General features: G+C 41.8%; 2 long non-coding RNA genes across 4 annotated transcripts in view; both read right to left on the bottom strand.

Annotated features, from left to right (window-relative positions):
* Nucleotides 1–5,409: 5,409 nt before the first annotated feature.
* Nucleotides 5,410–11,162, bottom strand: LOC105372201 (uncharacterized). Of its 3 annotated transcripts, none has more exons than XR_935637.3 (3): nt 10,855–11,162; nt 10,396–10,524; nt 5,410–9,768 (listed from the first exon to the last, which is right to left on the bottom strand). It is a non-coding gene; the product is annotated as an uncharacterized LOC105372201 (long non-coding RNA). The 3 variants fall into 3 exon arrangements; XR_935638.2 differs by having other exon boundaries at nt 10,925–11,153; XR_935639.2 differs by lacking the exon at nt 10,855–11,162 and adding an exon at nt 10,616–10,840.
* A 3,912-nt stretch (nt 11,163–15,074) lies between these two features.
* LOC107985177 (uncharacterized) overlaps nt 15,075–23,484 on the bottom strand; it is a 13,279-nt gene continuing 4,869 nt past the window's right edge. The window contains exon 3 of the long non-coding RNA XR_001753505.2: nt 15,075–19,387. This is a non-coding gene — a long non-coding RNA (uncharacterized LOC107985177). The remainder of the gene's footprint in view (nt 19,388–23,484) is intronic.

Below are 23,484 nucleotides of genomic sequence, written 5' to 3'. Positions count from 1 at the left end.
CCAGTCTTTTTTTCTCTTTGCTACTGTTGCAGTTTTCTTGTTCCTTAGTTCAGCTAAGTGTGAGTTCTTGTCCCACGACCAAGAAGAATAAGGCACACAGACACTGGAGAGTGGCTAAGGCAGAGCAGGGTTTTATTAAGCAACAGAAAAGCTCTCAGCAATGAGAGGAGACCTGAAGAGGGTTGCCAGAAATGAGGCAAGTTCTCGATCTTTTATGTGGCAAAGACAAGGAAGGCTCCTGTGGGTTCTACCCTAAGGGGAGGGGTAAAGTTGCCTCTGCACATGCCTGGGGTTGGTCGTAGCTACTCTGTCTTGGTTACTACCCATGAGTGCCTAAGTGAAACCCGCAGCAGGGCTAAAACTACAATGCTAATTTCTTGTTAATGATATTATAATGAGCTAGGTTAAGGATATTTAAGTTGATTTATTGCACCCGCACCTGGGTTGAGACCGTCCCTTCTGAGCAAACATCCTGGCGTTAGGGGAAGCTCTTTACCACATTTCTTTCTTCTAGCTGCAGGGGAGGTGCAGATGTGGTCCTGTGAGTGTTTTTCCTCTCCAGAGACCCTCCCTCTATATCCACCTAGCTGGCTTCTAACTGCCTCCTCTCTCACTCTCTCATTTTGGAAGTTTCTGTTGACATTTTCAAGCTCAAACATTGTTTCCTTCAGCCATGTTCAGTCTACTAATGAGCCCATCAAAAGCATTCTTCATTTCTGTTATAGTGTTTTTTGACCTCTGGTATTTCATTTTTAGAATTTCTGTCTCTCTGTTTACATTTCCCATCTGCTCTTGCATGCTGTCTGCTTTATCTATCACATCCCTTATCATATTAGTCATAGTTGTTTTAAATGCCTGCTTTAATAATTCCAACATCCCTGCCTTATCTGAATTGGGCTCTGATGCTTGCTTTGTCTCTTCAAACTGTATTTTTCTGCCTTTTAGTATGCCTTGTAATTTTTTTTCTTGATAGCCAGACATGATGTTCTAATTAAAAGGATCTATGGTAAATAAATAAGCCTTTAGTAATGTGGTGGTAAGGTGTGGGGGGGAGGTGAAGTATTCTATAGTCCTATGATTAAGTCTCAGTCTTTTAGCCAGCTTAGGTCTCTAGACTGTAAACTTCACAAGTGTTTCTTAGTAGCCCCCCACCTCCTGGCCATGTGAGACAGGATGGTGAGTGAGTTCGTTGGGTATTTTTCTTCTTCACATGGAAGGCTAATGGGAGATAGAGTTGGGCATTTTTTTTTCCCCAAGAGTGGCTAAGGTCTAAAAAATCAAAAACAAAAAAGATGAAAAAAAGAAAAACCACAGTAGTTTAGGCTCTTGTAAAATTGTCTCTCTTGAGGGCAGTCCTTGTTAAGAACAGAATGTTCTGACATATTTCAAAACGGTTACTTTTCTTCTCCCCCTGCCGGGAGCACAAAAGGATTTTTCTGTGAAAGCCCAATCAAGTTCCTGGAGGTAAACCTCACAAGTATCAGGAGAAGGGGCATTCTTTATTACTGGGTCCCCCTGGAGTTTTTAACTCTCAGCCTTGTCCACATTGAGCCTCCAACACTTTTTCAATTGCAGGTTAAGTTTCCCTTCCTGGGCTCTGGTTCCCATGGAGGTTTCTGCTGATGGGTTTCTGCTTTACTCACATGATTCTCTGTATTTACCTGTCTGTCTCTCTACTTTGGAGGCAGGCTGTTTGCTCAGTTACCTCACTTTTCCAACAGATCTAATGAATCATTGACTGTGCCATTTGTTCAGCTTCTTACTTATTGTTAGAATGGAGTGACGACTTTCAAGCTCCTCATATGCCAAGCCAGAATCCAGAAGATCCAGAATCACTTTCTATTCTCACAATCATCCCATGAATTAAGCATTCTCATTCTCATATTATGAATGAGGAAACTGAGGCTGAAAAGTTCAGATGATTTCACAGGGACACACAAGGTGGTAAAAGGTATTCTAACCCTGGTGTCCCCCATGTACCAGAGGGTTCTTACAGCATAAGTTTAGTGGGCTGAGTTAGCAGGAGACAGAGGTGGGGAAATTGCATATGACTCTGAGAGGTATACCAAACCCCTACAGAGGGAATATCAATAAAAGGGGCCATTTTTCTTTTTGCAGAAATTGATACGTTGACCTTAAAATTCCTATAGAAATGCAAAGGACCAAGAATAGCTAAATCAATGCTAAAAAAAAAAAAAAAAAAAAAAGACAAAGAAGACTCACATTCTCCCATTTTAAAACCTATTACAAAGCTATAATAATTAAAGCAGTGTGGTACTGGCATGAAGATAGACACATTGATGAATGGAATAAAGTTAAAAGTCCAGAAAGAAAAACTTACACTTATAGTCAATTAATTTTCCATAAAGATGCCAATGGGGGTAAACAGTCCCCTCAATAAATGTGCTGAGATTACTGAATATCCACATGCATAAGGCTTTATTTAGCCCCCTCCCTTATGCCATATACAAACTAAACTCAAAATGGATCATAGACCTAACTGTAAAAACTAAACCAATTTCTATGTCTTGTAAAAAGACTTAGAAGTAAATCTCTGTGACCTGTTGGAACTTTAGGTTAGGCAGTGATTGCTTAAATGTGACACCAAAAGCAGAAACAATAAAAGGCAAAATTGATGAATTAGACTTCATCAAAATTAAAAACTTTTATGAGTCAAACAACATCATCAAGTAATTGGAATATCAGCCCATAAAATTAGAGAAAATATTATATATCTGATAAAAGACCTGTATCCAAAGTATATAAAAGCAACTTCACATAACACAATAATGATAAGAATAACCCAGTCATAAAACAGGCAAATGATTTGAACAGACATTTCTCCAAAGAAGATATACAAATGGCGAAAAAGCACATGAAAAGATATTCAATGTCCTTACTCATTAGGGAAATGCAAATCAAAACTACAATAAGATTCCACTGCACATCCAATAGAATAGCTATAATCAAAAAGCCAATAATAAAGGTTGGTAAGGATGTGATGAAATTGGAACCCACCTTACTGGTGGGAATGTAAAAAGGTGCAGAAACACTGGAGAACATTTGGGCAGTTCCTCAATATGTTAAATATAGAGTCACCATATGTCCCAGAAATTCCACTCCTAAGTAACTACCCAAGGAAAATGAGAACATATGTCCCTGCAAAGACTTCTGGATGAAGACCGAGGGCAGCTACTGCTCGTAACAGCCAAAAAGTGTAAACAACCCAAATGTCCTTCAGCTGATAAATGGATAAACAAAATGTGGTATGCCCATACAATGGAATACTATTTGGCAAAAAAAGATGAATTACTTATACATGCTAAAACAAGGATAAACCTCAAATATTATGCCATGAAACAAAGCCAATCACAAAAGATCAAATATTATTATTCCATTTATATTAAATGTCCAGAAGAGGTAAATTCATGGAGGCAAAAGCAGATAAGTGACTTTCAGAGGCTGGGGTTGAAGATTGAGGGGGGTGATAGGGAGTGACTTTTAATGGGTACGGGGTTGAAGATTGAGGGGGTGATAAGAAGTGACACCTCATAGACATGGGGTTTCTTTTGGAGGTGATGAAAAATGTTCCAAAATCAGATCATGATTGTTACACAACTCTGTAAATATATTAAAAGCATTGAACTGTATAATTTAAATGGGAGAATTTTATGGTATGTAAATTACATCTCAATAGAGCTGTTTTAAAAAAGTGTTCAGATACAAAAAGGAGGTTGCTAAAAACAGTCCTTCTTCCTATAGATGAGGCATTTTTTTGTCAAGCTCACTACATCATATGCTTCTCCAGATGCTTGGTTTGGTTTCTCTACTTGGGGGTTCTTACAATAAAACCTATTTCTCTACAGCCTCTAAGACTTTATGTAGATTCTATACGATATTCTCGAATCATAAAGAGGATTTATGTCTGTCTTACTTGAAGGAGATGGGTAGAGCTCCCTCATAACCCTACAAATACAACATTTTCAATGTTTCTGCCGATGGCCTGATGAAACAATAGGACCTCAATAGTTAACGCGCTTGTTTTGTCCCTTCAGGACAGTAGCTTTAGTTATAGAAATGTCCTCTGCTGTATTTTTTCCCAAAAAATATGCATTCAAAAAGGCCTGTGAAATGTATGTTAAATAAATCTTTTTCACTATGTTGAAAGTTTAAGCGATTTAATAAAAATAGAATCCAACATTTTACGACTTGAACAAGACTTCAAATGCAGCATTACTAAACTCCATTCTTCCCGTGACGGCATCACCTGGCAGTTCAGCGTGAGACAGGCTTGCCTCCTACATAGCTCCAGAGCAACTGTGTGGGAGGTGAGCCTGGCCCTGTAACCTGGTAAGGCCACAAAAGCTTAATTAATTTTCAGAAAACAAAGTTACTTGTATGGCCTAATTAGCCTACATTTCTTAAACAAACCCAACACAAAGCTAGGTGATATCATTTTATGCAAACAAACAATAACACCTGATCACTCCCCACACTTAGATGCCACCATTATTATAGTTGTTCAACCTTTTTTAACTCTCCATTGCTTGGAATAATAATAACCTGTTAGAACTTTGAAATGAAAATCTTTCCACTTGACAAATGCTGATGTTTTTAAGCATTTCAAAAGCCAGTGTCAAACAGGCTTGCTTTTGATTTTCATCTTGGTCTGTGCATGAGCATTAGAGAAATTAACAAGAGCGAAAGGCCTGAGATTAGCCCCTCCTCCATAATTCCCTAACGTCAATCAGTAGGGGGAGCTCTCCTATTATTTAAGTGTCCACAAACAAAGCACAGAAGCATTTTTATTGACTCTCCTGGGGACAATGGTGAGGTTTTTCTTTAAATGGATGTTATAACCTGAAGAACATTAAGACAATGATTTGTTCAAAGTTAGAGATGTACCTCATTCAGCACTGACAACATATTTTCTAAAACAGCCTTGCAAATTAACGAGGGTGTAAGAGTTGCAGGCCTGTAGAAAATTATCCCATTCCAAGAAGGAATCAAGTACCTGTCACTTATAGTGGAATAAAACTTAATTGCATCAGAATTCTAATGGCCATAATGGGCTTCATCATCTCTTTAATATGACAGAATATATGGAAAGGTTATAAAAAGGGAAAAATTGACTAACAGATTTTTAGACTTTGAGAAAGGTGGCTTTAAGCTATAAATTATAATGTGAAAGGCACAAAATGAAAAGAGCATCAGAAAGTATTAGACTCTTTGAGATTTTGTAGTTAAATTAAATAAAATGTCATGGTAAGGAAATGAATGGTATAACCCGTAAGCTTTTCATGTAGTTTGCTAAAATAACACTTCCACAATTAGAGATTTGCATGATTCTTTTTATTATTATTTTCTGTAAAGATTGGGTCTCCCTATGTTGCCCAGGCTGGTCTCAAACTCCTGGCCTCAAGCGATCCTCCTGCCTTGACCTCCCAAAGTGTTGGGATTACAAGTGTGAGCCACTGCACCTAGACTGCATGATTCTTTATTGGAGCTTTTGAGTGAAAGTAATGAAGTCCCTATACATGTACACAGTATATATCACAATATGGTAAACTGAAGACCAGAAAATACACAGTGAAGTTATCAATAGGCAACAACAGCAAGAATTGTGTATCCCTCTATGAGTACATCATATTGCTAAGTGTGACAGAAACTGTCAATGTCCCCAAGTTGCTCCCACTCTCTCTTGATAATACAGTTACCAATTTTAGTCTGGGTATATGAGTTCTCATGGGAAAAACTACAATCCCCATCCTTCCTTGCAGCCAGTAGAAGCAAGGTGACTGCATTCTGGCCAATGGGGTAAGAACAGATGGACTGTGCAGAGTTGCAGTGCACAAGAGAAAGAGGAACATGCTTTTACCAACTCCATTTCCCCTTCCCACTGGCTAGAATGTGGATATGATGGTGAGTCATCTGGGGCTATGTGGAGAGGACAACAGGTCAGGAGAGTGAGGCAAAAAGGTAGGAAGAGCTTGAGCCCGTCATAACTTTGCAAAGCAGAACCACCAAACCAGATTTTACTTTGCTGTGAGAGAGGACTGTCTCCAGGTTATTCAGACTAGTCTCCATTTGTCTCTGTGTCTCCACAGTTTAACTAGTATCCTATACTGATAATATTATAAGAAACATAAAATAATACCTGAAATCTTATTTCTTTCTGTTGTGGAATTACCTAGGAGTTTAGAAAGTGAGCCCAGCATTGGGCTAGCATCAAACATTTATAATGAGACTTATTGACTAGTGATTCAGTGTTTGCATTTGGGAGATGGATAGATAATAGATAGAAAGATAGATAGATAGATAGATAGACAGACAGACAGACGTATATTTCCCCTATGAACAGGCAGTAGAGGAGGATGGGGAAGAGGAGGAAGAAGAAGGAGGACAAGGAGGAGAATGGGGTGGGAGAGGAGGAAAGAAAGGACCATCTCAGTTCTTGGCTGGAATTGTCCCAGTTACATCCGTGGTGTGATGTTGTTAACTTGCCTTTTTTAACTCTCAAAAGTATCCTGACTTGAACAATAACTTACATGGCCATTCTGCCTCTTGGTGTCCTTTCAATAATCCCAAACTACCTCATATAGCTGGAGCTTGATATTCAAAGTGTATAATCCACTGTAGAATGTGGGCATGGTGTGAACAGGACCTCTATATAAGAAATGCCAGTACAGATACTAAAACTAAAAGAATGCAAAATGCAAAAGTCTAAGAAAAAGATCACTGCAGGTGAAACAATGAAAAGTATTTGGTTTTATCAAACCAAATTTAGAAGAGAAAATTGTGGTAGGAATGGTTTCCATAAGCTGGAAGAAGAAGAGAAAAATAATACAGAGAAAGCAGCCCAAGAAGACAGGAAGAACCTGGTCAAGGGAAGAGACGCTGAGGACCGTAAGGGAGATCTTGGCAGCAAGGATCAGCAGAAGCGATCTTTAGCATGAGTGCTTTGCTTCTATGTTATACATGTTTTCATAGAACTGGGTAATAAAGGTGTAACAGGTGTTCAGAAAACACACCGCTCCTACCCACGGCCCTTCAGTGGCACACCCACATCACTCAAGCCTCACATAGGACAGTGCAGAAGCATTAGAAGAGCATGAAGTGGTGAGAGTTAGCCTTTCAGAGACATTTATCAATGGGTTTCTTTTTTCTTAAAGAAAAGAGATACATCCTGAGGCTAACAATACTTCTGTTTATTTCTTATAAGTTCACAAAATGGCAGGGCTTCCAATGAAAATTAATATTTGCTTAGTGGATCCATGATTAGCCTATTTCATCAGACCCCAATTATGCCCGTGTGTTACCCCTGAGCTCTCCTTGCCCGTGCCTGTCCCCAGCAGGATGAAGGAGACACACACAGGGCAGCTGCATTCCTGTGTCTGTGATTAAGGGGGTGAAGAAGGAAAAAAGTTAGAGGTGAGAAAGTGCTTCAAACCCAAACATAGTGTACACATCTACAAATTTTCACAAAATGTTAACAGACACAGCAAATCACTTACTAAGATGTTCTTTAGCCTCAAGTGTCAGGATAATTTTACAGTTTTAAGTCTGTACTTTAAGTAGTCAGTACTGTTAGAATTTTCTTTAAAATCCACGAATATCAATGTGTTTACATAGTTGGGTATTATCTTCACAGATTTAATGGAGAATATAAAATTTATAAATTTTAACAGAAATGCACAGAAGATGAAATTTATTCATGGTAGTGGTTTTCTTTTTGTTTTTGTCTTTCATGTTTTTTATTTTTTATTTTTTTGTTTGTTTTGCTTTTTGTTTGTTTGTTTGTTTTTGTTTATAACATCTGCTTGTTTAACTTCTGGAAGCACCAGAAAGCTAGACAAGGCCGGGGTGGAGTCCAGGGAAAGGAAAGATGTCTATTTTGAATAATTTGTACAAGCTAGAAATGGTTCCAAAGGATCACAACGAAGTGGTTTCCTAATGAGAAACATTTTCCTTCACACAGATTGGGCTCAGAGGATGGGATCAACTCACACGCCATAGTTGCATGTGAATACACAACCATAGTTTTCATTGTGATTTAAAGTAGTAACCGAAAAGACTAGTGTGTTTGCTAGACAGGATAGAAGTGAGTGGGAAGCGTGTAGCTTATAATGTCGGGGAAAAATAAACTGACTTAATAGCTGAAGTCTGCAGAACAGAGGCCACAATGTTAAGGCAGGTGAAAATGTTAAGGGATGCTAATTTTTGCTATTGGTAAAGGACTCAAAGTTTTAAGGACTCCATTCCCAAGAGGAAATGCACATTCAATGACAACTTGGATAGTGGCGTGTGACTCCTCAGCCCAATATTATAACATGTCAAGTATTTTCCAAAAGCCACCCACTCTGCTCTATAAACAGATGAATCCTGGCTGAAGAAAGCTTCACTAACTTTGAAGATTTGAAAGGCATACAAATCTTAGGGAAACAAATCGTGACCAATAAAAGTTGAAGAGCATCTGTAAGACAGTATTACAAAGCTGGCTGACTTCCATGACTGGAGAATGGTATTAGGAAAGTGACTCAGCAAGATTCTTTAAGAAAAAAAAAGCTGAGTTATTGGGTTAAAACATCATTGGTTCATTTTGAGGCATTACAGATATTTGGAAAATAAGACCAAAGTCTTATCATCATGATAAAGCAGGCTGGTGAAGAAATCGCAGAACTGGTTACCAGTTTAATCAACTTAGTAGTTTCCTCTCACCCTGTTTTTTTTTTTTTAAGAGTGATCAATAAAAACATTAATTTTCAGGAAGCAATAAACACAGAGCTATGTGGTAGGAAGAATAAGAGCAGACATAATTTTTTTGTCTTAGACACATAGAGTAAGACGTCATCATAGGTATAAATTTCTTATATGATGTTCACATAATTACGTCTTATTTCAAAGGCATTAGGACTCCATCCTAGAAATTAAACAGAAAAATGACACATCCAGTTGACCCCATCCAGGGGGCCTCTACATCTTTAACAGTTCCGTGATCTGGTAGCCAAGTCTCTCCTAAGGAGAGGTTGAATGCAATCGCGTTCATGGGTCAAGCATAGTGTCTGTGTGGCCCACGTTCTCCATGAACCTGTGGGGCCACTCTTGTTGTTGAGTTGCTGCTGCTGTTATGGTTATGATCATTACATGTCCTTTACAAAGAGTTCTGGGATAAGGATGTCTATATAAAGGTGTCTATATTGATTATTTTATTCATCTAACATCATGTATTTTATTATTAATGTTAAAATGTAAGTAAATCTCAACTAATTCATTCATTTTTCTTCACTTATCCTATTACTAAGCACATTTGTCAACAATTCATAGAAAAATACACAGTGGTGGGTTTTTATAATGTTTTAAAATAACTGCCCACACATTTGGTCCCACTGTTTTATGATGCAATTCTTGGTCCTCTAATGAGCTTGCCAGTTGGCTCCTAAGCCTTCCAGGCCAGCATTCCCTAACACTGAGAAGCATCTCAGAAGTGCCTCGATTCAGAGGTAGACATAAAGCTGGCTGAGTAGAGTGCTTGTGATTGAACGTGTTTTGTTATTGTTTACATTAATAAAATATAAATAAAGTGCCAAACTCAGAATTTGCCCCTCAAAGTGAGATGCCATGTGCTTATGGTCTTCTGGGGAAGAAATGAGGTGGCTGGTTTTTCATGGCTTGACTATTCCCACGGAGCAGGCATCATTCTTCTCTTGCAACTGCAATATTTTTTTTCTATTTTCCTTCAATTCTCACAAGATCTTCTCTCATTAATGTCTAAACCAGGAAAAGTTTTAACAGTTAATTTTTTCACTTAACCAAAATGTATCTTAATTTCTTGTAGAGTTTTTAAAATTTAGCTTTGAAGTGTAATAAAATTAAATAGATTTGTTTTAGAATTTTCCAAAAATGAAGTTTTGGGAGAAGATGGAAAATATGGAAATATTTTTCCTAAGAATTCATTTACTTTCATTTATTTTTCTTTTCTTTTCTTTGTTTTTAGAAAACATTGAGAGAGAAATAAAGTTTCACAATTCCATCATGCCAGAAACATCTATTAAATTGAATAGGAGTGAAAATATTAACCCTCAATATTACATTCTACGTGTATGTTGAATATATTTGTCTGTTAGGCATATAGGACTCTTGGTCTTCTAGAGAATTCAAGAACTGTCAGAAACGGTTACAGTGGAAAACTTTTTTTTTCCAGGAAGCAAAAATATGTTAATGCCAAATCAATTGCATTCTTTTCAATTCCATTCAAGCAGGAAAGGAAATCTCTATCTGAAATTCAGACCCACTTTTACCACATCTCATTCTTAATTATCTAGACAAATATGGCAACTTCCTGCTCACTTTTTCTGAAGATATATAACTTTGGACTAACTTTCAAAAGCAGCTAACCTTAACAAGGATGTGGCAGCTGTTGGACAACTCACAGGCACATTCCGCCGTAATTAGAGCCAAGAAGCACTGGAGAACCATGTCCAATTGAATCCGAAAAGAGAACGTTAGTCAGCCAGAGCATCCTTACTGGAAATAGAATATAACAACAACAAAAAAATTGGTCAGTAAACCTTAAGATTTTATTTTTCAAAAAATGCCTACCAAAATAATTACCTACCCTAGAGAGAAAAATTGCCCATTAACTTTGAATGACATCTTCTAATGATTTTATCAAGTTTTCATGTGTATGAAATCATCTCTATTGTTTGAAACCACTAGGCATCTCAGCTTATATTTAGAGGGAGAGGCAGAAGTAGCTTGTGAAAGGCGTGTCTAGATCGACGACCTGACCTCTGAGTGGACCTGGAGGAAGGGGCTGGGTCTAACATGCCTCTGGGCAGAGACCCAGGAACACACCTTGCCAGGCCTTTGGCAAGGTCAGTCCTCCTGTGTGGGGATCCTGAGGCCACGCCCAAAGGAGATGTACCCTGCAGGGGAGAGAAACGCTGGCCAGATCTAGGATGCAGAGTCAGAATTTGAGGAGACAGGAAAAGAGCTCAATTGTGTGTTAAATTTTGGACAGCATGGTCCCAAACAGTCAAAGGGACAGTGGGGAGATGCACGTCTGTGGCGTCCTTCTGTAGAAGACCAGAGGGCACTGTGGCAGGGTGAGGAGGAGTCCACAGGGTGGATATGCAGCCCCTCGTGCTGCCAGCCCAGCGCCTGGCACCTCTAAATAGCACTCACGGTAGGATTCTGTTTTTCGTTCTCTGGTTTCCATGGTGCACCATTCCACAGACAGTTCTGGTTGTTTTACTGACAGGTGGACCATATCTTACATCACTTTCCTATATTTCTCAGTTCAACTCTGCACCACACAGACATGAACGCTTTGTGGTTAAGACACAGTTTAGCCAGAAGAACCGATGGCAGCTGGACCAGTGCAGAAGGAGAGTAAGAGCAGGTGCGTCCCCCAGCCGCCAGGGACAGCTTCTGACCACAGAGTGCTGGTGACTGCAGCAGGATTGTGGGCAGGTCACTTCACCTCTGTGGGTCCCAGTGTCTTCAACAGTAAAATGAAAACATTGAATTAATATCTCTTTGACCTTAAAAAGGTCATCGTCTTCGTTATTCTTGTGGAATTTCATATCAAGAATCCCAGAAAGCCAGCGGCCTTCATCTGCACTCACTCCTCGGACTCAGCTGCTGAGCCCCTGCTCACCACGCACTTTCTCTAGTTGCACAGCACGTCCCTGACTGCATGTGAGAAGGCTTTCTCCAGACTCCAGCAAAAGAGCCTTAGGGAGGAGAGTGAGGGCTCCCAATCACACTTCTCAGTCGATAGAGGTGGAAGTGTTTAGAAAAGAGACAGAGAAAGGAAAACTCAACAATGCATGGAGAAAAGCCCTGAATGACTCCTGAGGCGGCTGTACAGGCCCCCACTCAGGACACCGAGGCCGCTTGCACGGGGTTCCACTGCCGGTGTGTCCTGTCCACAACCTGTGTGATTCAGGCCCCCTTGGCTGGGCTGCTAGGTCCCTCAGAGGCCCCTCTGTCCTTAGCACAGATGCCTGTCTTCCCAAGGAATTCGAGGGAGGCCAGCAGCATGTGAATGCCCACACCATGCTTTAGGACGCGGAAGATGCTTAGAGCCAAATGGGAATTCTATGAATATAATGTTAATAAAAATTGATTTTTGAAAACGAAGCATCTTTCTTATACTACTTGCAGGTTAGATAAATAAGCCACATGGGTGATAAATGCCTGCTCTTCGCAGTTATAATTGGCCAAATATTCTTTTACTTATTTTGGCCCCTATTTTACTATGGCCAAAATAATAGTAAATAGATCAATTAGCAGGTTTGAGATAAGACCTGGGGACTTATATTTTTCAGAGCTAGGCTAAAATTCTCTCCCCCCTCATCAATAAGTCGTTGGGTCTCCCCCTCCTTGCCCCGCTTCCCACATCCGAGGAAGGGCTGAGATCCAAATAGTTATCGCACGATGGATGGCGCTCCTTCTTCATGACCTACCACACTCACATGATTTAAGCCATGGTTTTGGATGTTGTTGATGATTTATTGTATGAAAAATGTAAATGATCTGGATGGCAGATGTTTTATATTTTCTGACCATTCATTTTCAGTGGGAATGTAATTAAAATTTATGAAGTGTATCTGCTGAATTGCATTGGCAATTGATGATCTCCTCCAGGGCTGTCTATCCACAGATGATGAGTAATTGTGGACAGAGACGTCTGGTGACAAGGGCAGGATGTGATGTTTCTGCCAGAGTGAAGCGACCTACGCAAAGGACGGGATTCCTTTGCCTTTGTCCCCAGCCCACAGCCCCACCCAGCCCCACCCAGCCTACACCATGGAGAAAGGAAAGGTGGGACAGTGTCTGCTCTTTCCTTTGCAGAGTTTTAAAACTCTCAGACCTTCTCCTGAAAGGCATGTTAGAAGCCCACCACAGAGATCCAGGGAGAAAACATCATCCTTCAGAGAAAACCCACAGAAGGGACTTTGGCAAATTCCAAATCCTCCAGAGAGCTGTCATTGTTTGGCCTTGCAGATCGTGTTTTCAAGCATCGAAGTTACCATGAGAGGATCAAGTCAAAAGATTAGCTATCATCCTATCTATACGCATCCACTAGATGAAATGTGATCGTGCAATTATCAGTTGACGTGTCTACCTCCCTACTAAGCATGGAGCTTCTTGAGGTCACAGTTCTCTGTCTGTCTTAAAACCTGGCCAGCGTCTGACAGCAGAGCCTGCCACACAACCCGTTCTTGCACTTGGTTAAGCTGTGCTGAGGAAGCTACATCTGAGGAAGAGGAATGCCAAAGAGCCAGAACATGCCACACCCTGGTGTTTATTGGCATGGTTTTTCAGTACCTTATGACTTCTTGTGAGACCTTTTCTTTTGTGAAGATGCCAAACTCTCATCATTGATAGCATCACTGTCCTGCAAAGTCCCCAGAGCATTCCGTTAAATTCCCAGGTTCCCAGTCCCCAGCAGGCCACAGAATTGGATGGCCTGGGTGAAGGAGGTCATAAGATGCCTGAGCCGCAGCATTGATGATGTGGACGCTCTGTGTCAGTGCAGCAACTTTCACTTTGCTTCTGCTTCTTTTGCACCTAAATGTTTACTTTAAATTCCACAAGTCAACTTGTGTGTGGTTCTGATGAGAATGTGACCTAAAAGTGCTGTGAGTACAACTCACTAACACTGGGGCTCAAATGAAGACTGATGACCATGGTAACAAAAGAAGACTCTTTGTGTCAAGCAGTTTCTTTTATCACCTCACCTTTCTCCATGGAACACCCTTTTTTATTTCTCTTCTCCCTTCTGTTGATCTTCATCACCAGCCCACCCACCTATTGTTTAATCAGGTACTCTCCAAGCCATTCATTCTATTTCATACAATCAGTAGGATGGCATCTTTGATAGCTAGTACTTCTCACTAAAACAGAAAAAAAGGTAAAAATACTGAAATAACTTATTTTTATTTCATCAGACCCAGATGATCACTCTATTTACTGAGACGCCTGGACACCCAGGAGGTCTTTAAAAAGCATTCACAACTCATGGGAAGGTAGAATTCCTGAGCCAAAGGGCACCTCAAATTCTTTATCACAAGCCCTTTATTTTATAGAAGGGGAAAAAATGGCTAGTGAGCTGAGGAGTGGCAGCTCTGGGACTGTGATTCAAAACTCTGATGGCTCCACATTGCAAGCCCGACTTCTGTGCATAGTCTGATTTCGTTTTGAGATACCAGCTATTTTCTTTCATTTATTCTCTTGGCGCTTCCAAGTCCCAGTAAAACAGCAACTTGGCACTGCATGAAGCAGGGCTCTAGGTGCAGCTGTGAGGATGAGAACCCGAGTACAGCATTTACAAGAACACACTGTGTGCCAGGCCCTCGTCTGGACAGCAATGCTACCATAAGTTGTATGATTACTCCCATTCTACAGGGAGGCAACCTGGCAATTTCCACTTTAACCTTTCATTTCTTCTTCTTTGGCCCTATAATTCCCTTCAAGAAAACTACACTTACAATCTATAATCAGTACCAAAATTTGGTACAAGGATGTTCATTGCAATATATTAAATGTCAGAAGATGAAAAGATGGTTAAATAAATTATGGTAAGGCCAAGCATGGTGGCTCATGCCTGCATTTTGGGAGGCTGAGGCAGGTGGATCACTTGAGGTCAGGAGTTCCAGACCAGCCTGGCCAACATGGAGAAACCCCATCTCTACTAAAAATACAAAAATTAGCTGGGTGTGGTGGCATGTGCTTGTAGTCCCAGCTACTCGGGAGACTGAGGCAGGAGAATTGCTTGAACCTGGTGGGTGGAGGTTGCAGTGAGCTGAGATCACACCACTGCACTCCAGCCTGGGTGACAGAGCAATACTCTGTCTCAACTAAAAAAAAAATAAAAAATAAATAAATAAATTATGGTAGAGCCATATAATAGAATATCTCCTGAATGTAAGAAAATCATGTCTTTATCATTTGACCATAAAATTCTACTTCTACTATTTAGGAAATAAATAATGAAGGGTATCCATAAATATTTAGCTAAAAGTTATGTTTATAGCTTCATTATAAATCACAGATTAACGACAACATAAGTTTCTGATAAGAGTTTATTTGTGAAATAAACTATAATACATTTATGTAGTGGAACACCACACACCGAATAAAAATTATCACACAGACTATTACTCAAAATATTCATGTAATATACTATTTATTATACAGTTAAATCATTATGTTACCAAGCAATATAGAGACAGCGAAATTATACTATTTTCATTCAAATTTCACATAAATAGATAGAAACCAAAAAACTAAAATGTTAACAGCAGTCATTTGTAAGTGAGGGGATTATTACTGATTTTATTTTCTTATCTTTCTTTTCTATAGTTTTTATTTTCCTCATAAAGAACATAAGTACTTACATAGCAAAGAAAAATAAAAGCAATGGTGAAGTCCCTCGTTTCAAAGTTATAATATTAATAGAAAAAATCAGAATACAACTCTCTATCTAAAGTATTACCCAAATTTTGTTTTTAAATATTTGGACTGTAATACATATGCTTCAGAATACCTAGGGAATATATATATGATTATTCTCATGGCTTAGAACTACAGGTGATTTTTATTTTATTCTTCATATCTCTGTTTTGCCAAGTTTTCTGCTGCAAACCTGTATTTTATAATCAGAGAAAACAACAACAATCATAGGACACATAGAGGTAGAATCCGAGTTTTCTTATTTTAGTTAAAATACTAAAAAATAAAGCAGAATATTGAGCGTATCTGGGAAAATTAGAAGGAAAGTGAACACTTCTCTTTCTTTTCTTTAAACTTTATTTTTAAGTGGCTTCCCGACTGCCAGAATGTTTACCAAACTCAGTGCTAAGATTTTCATTGACAAGCACAGGCATGCTATAGCCCGCTTTCCTGTGAACTGTCACAATAAAAAGACATTCACATTTTAGTATTTGGGCAAAATGTTTAACACTCAAACATTTGTATTTTTCCTTCAGTTTTCAAAACAACTTTAAATCTCTCTTTTCAAAACAGTGTTAAATGATGTCACTCATTAGCTAGCAGGTGGCTGACAGTGGAGAACGGTGTTTAATGCTTCCATTTCCAATGCAGCTGGCAGCACAGACCAGGTGAGCGTGCAGTGTGCGGGTTCAACTTAGGACCTGCAGGTTGGGCATTGAATAAGCTGGGGGCGGCACTGCAGGAAGCTGGGTTAGACTTCCGAGCCCCAATCAGGAGCATGAGGCATGAAGTCCAACCTCACACTGTCTGCATGGAAATAGATCTGGGAAAATTAAGCCACTGGCAATAAAGGAATCCGTGCCACCCAGAGTATAAGAGCCATGTGTCCCACATAAGAAACCACTGTCGGAAGTCCAGCTGTCATTTTAGGGCAGACTGAAAAGGAGATACAGAAAGTATCGCGGAAGTCAGCCGGGAGGGCTGTCCTGACCTGAGCCTAGTGACAGCCGAGAAAAAGAATGTGGCGTCAGTGACGTAGTTCACATGGTGCTGGTTATGATGTTTGGCTACAATAGAGTATGAGGTGGCAATGATGATAAACTGTCATCGAATGGACATAAAGGATGAAATAATCTTGAATCCCTCCTGAGCCCACCAAGCCAGGCTAAGCCTAGAGAGAGTCTGGGGGAGGCTCTGCGTTTGGATACCCAGCCCCTGTGCTGGAGGAAAGCTGTGCATCTTAAATGGAGTCTCCGAATCCAAATGGCTGGGGTGGGGTTGAAAGCACTTTCTTTCCTACACTTAAAAGGTATTTTAAGTGTAGGAGTGAGTGGCATGCTGGGATTTCATTAAGATCTCTTTGGGGAACACAAAACACTTAGTGCCTGACTAGGCCTTGTTCGTATCAGCACTGGGTTTGCAGCCAGACGGTTTTTTAAGCCCTACCCATAACCATTGCCCCCGAGTTGCTCAAAGGGACAACAGGGGTTGACACAAACCAACCATTCAGTCAGCCCAAGGGACGGGATAAAGTCTTCTGTGACCCTGTGCTTGGAGGTGCAGATGGCCCAACTTGTGGCATGAAATGCCACCAGTAATGGGCGACACTAAGACCTGAAATTTCACGGAAAGGCCAGCATGGTAAGTGTGTCTGCTTCGTAAGATTTTTGTGCAGATTAGGTGAGAGGAGAGGCTGTAGGTTCAGTGTGGAGGACAGGGGCCAGCTCAGAGCAAACGCCCAAGTGTGGGTCCTTAGAACCTTATTATTCCTCTCGCTTCACATTTGCTTCGCATTTCACAGACTTCAAAGCATTTTCACTGAGCATCCTCATATTCATTTCTCACCTTAGCTGAGAGGTAGAGAGTGGGGTGCAATTATAATTACGCCCATTTTCCATTCATGGATCTGATGGGAGTTTCGCATTTTGCCCAGGGATGGTGTTGGGTGGTAACAGGCCGGGGTTCCGAGGCCCAGGGACTCTGCTGCCCAGTGCTCTACTGAAAACGCCAGGCTGCCGTTCCATGGTCATCTGCACCTGCACTACAGCTGTGTTGTTTTGTGATATCTTTTTCCATGGTAAAAGCAAATGATTTATAAACGCATTGATTGACACCACCAGAGCATTCCTAACAAGGATTCTTTGGTTCAGTAGAGATAACCCAGGCAAGAACAGGAAGAAAACCCACAAGGCTCTTGCTCCTGGAATGAGTGAATGATTTTTCAACCACTAAAACTCCCCTCTTGTAAATTCTTTCTTTCTTTCTTTCTTTCTTTATTTATTTATTTATTTATTTATTTATTTATATTTTTGAGACAGGGTTTCACTCTGTTGCCCAGAATGAGTGCAGTGGTATGATCTCAGCTCACTGCAGCCTCAACCTCCTGGGCTCAAGCGATCCTCCCATCTCTGCTTCCTGAGTAGCTTGGATTAGAGGCACATGCCACCATGCCCAGTTGATTTTTGATTTTTTGTAGAGCTGGGGTCTCACTACGTGGCCAGGCTAGGCTTGAATCCTGGATGCAAGTGATCCTTCCACCTTAGCCTCCCGAAGTGCCGGGATTCCCACACCCAGCCTTGTACATCCTTCCATAAGCTCCCATGCATTCTCTCAGATGTGTCTTGTTTCCTGGTTGTGGCCCCTAACCTGCCCCTGTACTGTAGAGTCTTTCCAGGAAACCAAGGGCTGCAGATGCAACATTAACAACATAGATGGTGGTGAGTGTTCTCCATTGAGTGCCTGCTCTGTGGTGGGCAATGAATGAAGATCCTTGATGACTTTCCGTAATTTAGTCCTCACCATAACCACTGGCAGGTAACAGCCCATCAACTGATAAAGGCAGGATCTGGACTGAGGCATGACCAGCTCCAGATGCAAAGCCCCTTACCCAGGTGCTAGCCCACCTGCCTGGTGGGGGAACCAGAGCCAACACTGCCCTCTGCTCCCTTCCCCCCTGGGCCCCCTCCCACAGGCTTCTGCAAAACCAGGTTGCATAAAACCAGGTGCCTTTCACCTGCCAGGTTTCATCTCAGGCCCTGCGTTCTTAATGATAACCATAGATTTCCCACTGGGAACCTGGGCCATCTTCCTCGTCACAAGGTAGCCAGTTGAAATGAACACAGACTCAGGCTATTGGGACCATCATGCCCCCTCATAGCCTGGGGGAGAGCTCTGCAGTAGCCTCCAGAGTCCACCCTCTCCACCATGCTTCTTTTCTCTTCTGAAGCTTCACCACCCCCACCACACCTGCGACCTCTTCTCTCTAAATTTCCATAACTGTCCTTCACTGGGCCCACACCCAGGACATAGAAAGATGGAGGTGGTGACTCACACACGGCCTGCTGTCTGAGGGAAAATGGGGACATTCAATCAGAAATCTCAATAACATGGGAAGAGATTTAAGATTGAAAATGCCCAAGAAACACCTAAAGGAAAAGAATCGTGGTCTGGGAGACTCTGGCCTCCTTTTCTACACCACAAGAACGAGCCTCTTCACGCATGCTCTCTCGCCTCTTGCACTGACTCCTCCGTAAATGTTCTTCTGGGTCTTCTGGGTGGAACCGCAGTTTGTTCAGCCCTCTCTCTCTGCACACCCCAGTAGGCCTAGTGCAGAGTTTGGCTTTGCATAGGTGCATGGCTCAGCACCTTCGTGCCGAAGAGCCTCAAGGGTCTGGGAGCTACTGCTGCATCACAAACCTCCCCAGGCTCAAAGGCTCACAGTTCAACACGTTACCCATTACTCTTCACACGTTTGTGAGTCAGTTGTGCAGTTCCGGTGATCCTGGATGGGGATCCTCATTCCTCTGTGGGTGGCTGTGGGCTCTGCTGGGATGGCTGATGGGGCATGGCCTTGAGGACACAGTCAGGTCTCCTCTGGCATCTGTTCCTCCCGCCGGCAGGCCAGCGTGCTCCTGGTAGTGGCAGCCTCCAGGACAGCAAGCGGAAACACAAAAGCACATTTTTAAAGCCGGCAAGTATGGATGTGACTCCCGTCCCCTTGGCCAGGACAAGTCGCTTGCCCAAGGCCAGTGTGCATGCGGGAAGGCACAGGCCTGAGAAGCCAAGGGGCATGAAAGTGGGAGGCTGTGAATGTCGGGGACCCAGCGTACCTCATCCCGCTGCAGAGGGAAGCTTGCATCCAGCCAACCCAAATCCTACACACTTCCATTTTAACGGGTTTCACTCTGAAATAAATGAATGTTTCTCAGGGCAACATTACATCCAGTTCTGCCAGTGCAGAATCCTACGTCCTTTGTGCGGGCTGTGCAGAGTCCTGCGAGGCCCCTGGTAGACAAAAGATGGGCCGTGAGAAGCGGGTCCCACGTGAGGATGACGAGAGGGTGGGAAGTGCCAACACAGATCCCACTTGGAACTTCATCTTCTCCAAAGAATGTCAAATTTTGAGTGGAAAGGGGAAAAAAAGGGGGGAGCCCCAAACGTAACACAACACTCCGAAGTCAGTTCTTTTTCTCTCTTGACTAATTAAGCTTAACCAGAATGGTGGGGCTGTCAGGCGTGGGGAACCTTTCCTGAGAGAAGAAAGGAGCCGCTCTCCAGGTGGGTTCCCGACTCTGGCTGGCTCCCACCACAACATACATTTGGCATCCATGACAGCACCATCAAAAATAATAGCGAGAAAGCTCACTGTCTGTCACGACGGAATAATTATGTATGGGCTTTCCTTACACTCAAGATGGATTAGATATTTCATTGAGGAAAATATATGTGGCTTTTAAAAAGAATGTAATGTATTGAGGGCACTGCTGAGATTAATAGCCAAATAAAGAATTTTTTAAAAAAAGTTCTGTGTGTGTATGTGTGTGTGTGTGAACATGTCACTCATGAAGCGATGGGAGATGTCATTCCTAAGCTGGTTAATTACAAAATGCATTAATGTTTTATTATACCCTTATCAGTAATTAATCACCCACTTTGATGTAAAGTTCAGCCTCAGAAAAGTATCATGAAATTGTCCTTCATGTATGAATGAGGATTTTTAGGGGTGAACAAAGACCATGACAAAGATAGAAGTGCATTCCCCCGGAAAGAGGACAGGGATTAGCCTTGTGTGAATCTTACACTGTGTGTGTTTTACCCTTGGGGTGTTTATGAGGCCAGAACCAAAGGAAGCAAGAGAGAGAGAGACAGAGCAAAGGAAGAGAGAGAGAGAGAGAGAGAGAGAGAGAGAGAGAGAGACAGAGAGGGGGTTGTCTCTACAACAGGGGGATGGGGAGCTTTCCTTAGTGGTGTTCTTCAGGTGCAGAGTTTGAATAAAAATGCAAAACAGGATGCTCCCATTCAGTAAATATTATCGTTTTTATTCACTCATTAATTAAGTTGCTTAATTGCTGCTGTCAAAAGACTCTTGAGTTTGTGACTGGGGCTGCTGCACTGTTTTGATAGGAGCTGAAGGAGAGAAAGGCAATATTGCTTGCTCGCTTGGCTTTCTGAAGAAGGAAGCCTCAGTGAGGCAGATCAGAAAGGATCCAAGAGGGTGATGTGGAGAGGGAACACTGCTTCTGGGGGGAAACGGCCAGTTGCAGGACTCCTATAGGAGGCTATTTCATTACTGTGATGGATGCCCATCGCCGGCATATTATCATTTCAGTCATTACTCTGTTAAAATCACTTTTATGCAAAATATTTCCCCCTTTAATCTAACTTCCCAAGAGGGGCAGGAATGGAAATAGACTCTGGCCTTGTCAGTCAACACAATCCTACATCCCTTTGTATCTGCTTCAGAGGAATGACTCCGGGCTGTTTCGGAACACATCCTGTCCACTGCACTCCATCTGCAAATTCCCAGTGCTTCCAGGGCCTCCCATGCATAATGCTCCACGTTTCTTCACACTGGGGTGATCACATGTCCCACAGAGCCTAAGCCAGACTGCCGCTCAGCAAACACATACCAGAAATAGCCTACAAAGTGTCTTGGTGCTGACATTTGATTAATGTTCCCTGGCCTTTCCGTGCTCAAATATGCTTTATTTGAAATATTTGAATAACCTTTGAGCACACCCTTCCTAATTTGTCACCCTGTGCACACCCAAAAATAATAGACAGGCTAATCCCGTAGTAACAGCGCCCTCTTGCCCAGGAAGAGATTGCTCCCGCCATGTCTAAGCACACTGGGCTTCCCCAGAGGGGTGGCTCCACCCCATCTACCACCGAAGCATGGAAAAACAATGAAGAACAACAACACTGGCCCACTGGCATCACCCTCAATGGGAAAAGTGACGGTGGATCTGCACAGTAAACATGGGTGTGTGTATCTGACCTTCCCCAGAGTCTCAGGTAGAGGGGAGCTCCAATCAAGTTAACTCTGCTTCCCTGCCTGAGGGCAACTAAATGTTTTTCTTTTGCCTTTCACAGTGTAGCTACTCCTCCAACCAGTGGAGCCAAGGGCATCTATGTGTGCATGCATAGGCCACTTTGCATTGCCTGTGTATCGTGTACATGTGTAGGTTGTTGCATATGTGTGCATGTGTGGATGGTTGCATATGTGTCCATGTGTCCATGTTCCCTACTTTCTCAATGACCTCAATTGCATGCTTATTGGGTGCCTGGCTGATAGTTTATCTAAGAGGAGCTGCCACGTGGTGAGCCTCACCTGCAGGCTGGAAAACCAAGCCACACAGATAACATGATGAAGGGCTAGGAGGTCAGGCCAGTTAGCTAATGAGTTACTTGAATCTTTATTTTTTTGTTAAAATACAGCTAGACATGTTGGAATCCTGATGTCAAATCGCTATGAATTTTGTGCCAAAAAAAAAAAATCTTCATTTTCCGGGCTGCCATGGGCTTTGCTTGCATATGCTGGGCAATTACTCTCTCCTTTGCCATGAGGAGGGTAGGAAGAAAGGAGGGAGGGAGGGAGGGAGGGAGGGAGGGAAGGTTGAGAAGCATCTCAGTTCACAGCATTATTCTCATCCTCTTCAATTTTCTGAGAAATTCATTTGCATTTAGGACAAGGTGACTTGGACTTGCTTCTGTTTTCCACTACCTTCATGAAGGAAGGTGGGGAATAGTTGTTATAATTTTCTAACACTTAACTTACAAATCTAATGGTTTTATTTGACTGTCAAACCCAACTCTGTGAGACATATTTAAATGCCTTGGTATCTTGCATCTAGGGGTAATTAGGTAAGATTGATTAGGTAAGATACTAACCATGGGGACTATCAAATCCCTATAATGGGCTGAATGTGTCCCCCCAAAATTCATATGTTGAAATCCTAACCCTAATGTGATCTTATTAGGAGGCGGGACCTTTGCGAGGTGATTAGGTCATGAGGGTGAAGCCCTCATAATTGGAATTCCTGTCCTTATAAAAAGACACCAGAGAGCCCCTTCACCCCTTTTGCCATGTGAAGACACAGTGAGGAAGCAGGGCCTCACCAGGCACTGTACCCAGCCTCCAGAATTGTAAGAAATAAATTTCTGTAGGTTATAAGCCACACAACCTATGGCCTTTTGTTATAGCAGCCCAAATGGACTAAGACAGGGGTCATTATATCCTACGACTGGTAGACAGAGATGCTGAAGTTTGTATAGACCAGGAAACCCAGGAGCTCAAATCATAAGGAACCTGGAGCAGAGGGAGGGGAGGGTGGAAAAGGGAGACTAGCGGAGCAAGAGCTCTAACACGATCATGCTGCAAATTCAGGATGAGTTAGAGGGAGGCAACACCATGTCTACATCACTACACTTCCAATAACATTAAATGATTTAGATGATCTCAAGCTTCTGAAAATAGCAGCATGAACACAAGTGTTGATCTAAAACAGGAAGATTACAACCATACCACAGATATATGAAATATTTTCCAGGAAAAGAAAAAAAGCCACCAGGGGAAATATGGTTTTACCTGTTATTATTCTTGTCGTGTTGCAAGCATTCAGGTAGATAGTCTTTGTTTGAGTAGGAAATGACACAACTTTATGCAATATGGACAACATTCTGGAACAAAATTCTAAAAAATGTAAAATTCTAGTTTTTGACATCAAAAGTCAAATGTTCTAA

This window comes from Homo sapiens, chromosome 18, assembly GCF_000001405.40.
Source record: "Homo sapiens chromosome 18, GRCh38.p14 Primary Assembly".
NCBI classification, from domain to species: Eukaryota; Metazoa; Chordata; class Mammalia; order Primates; family Hominidae; genus Homo; species Homo sapiens.
The sequence above is the reverse complement of the archived record's forward strand: the minus strand, read 5'-3'. Positions and strand labels throughout refer to the sequence as shown.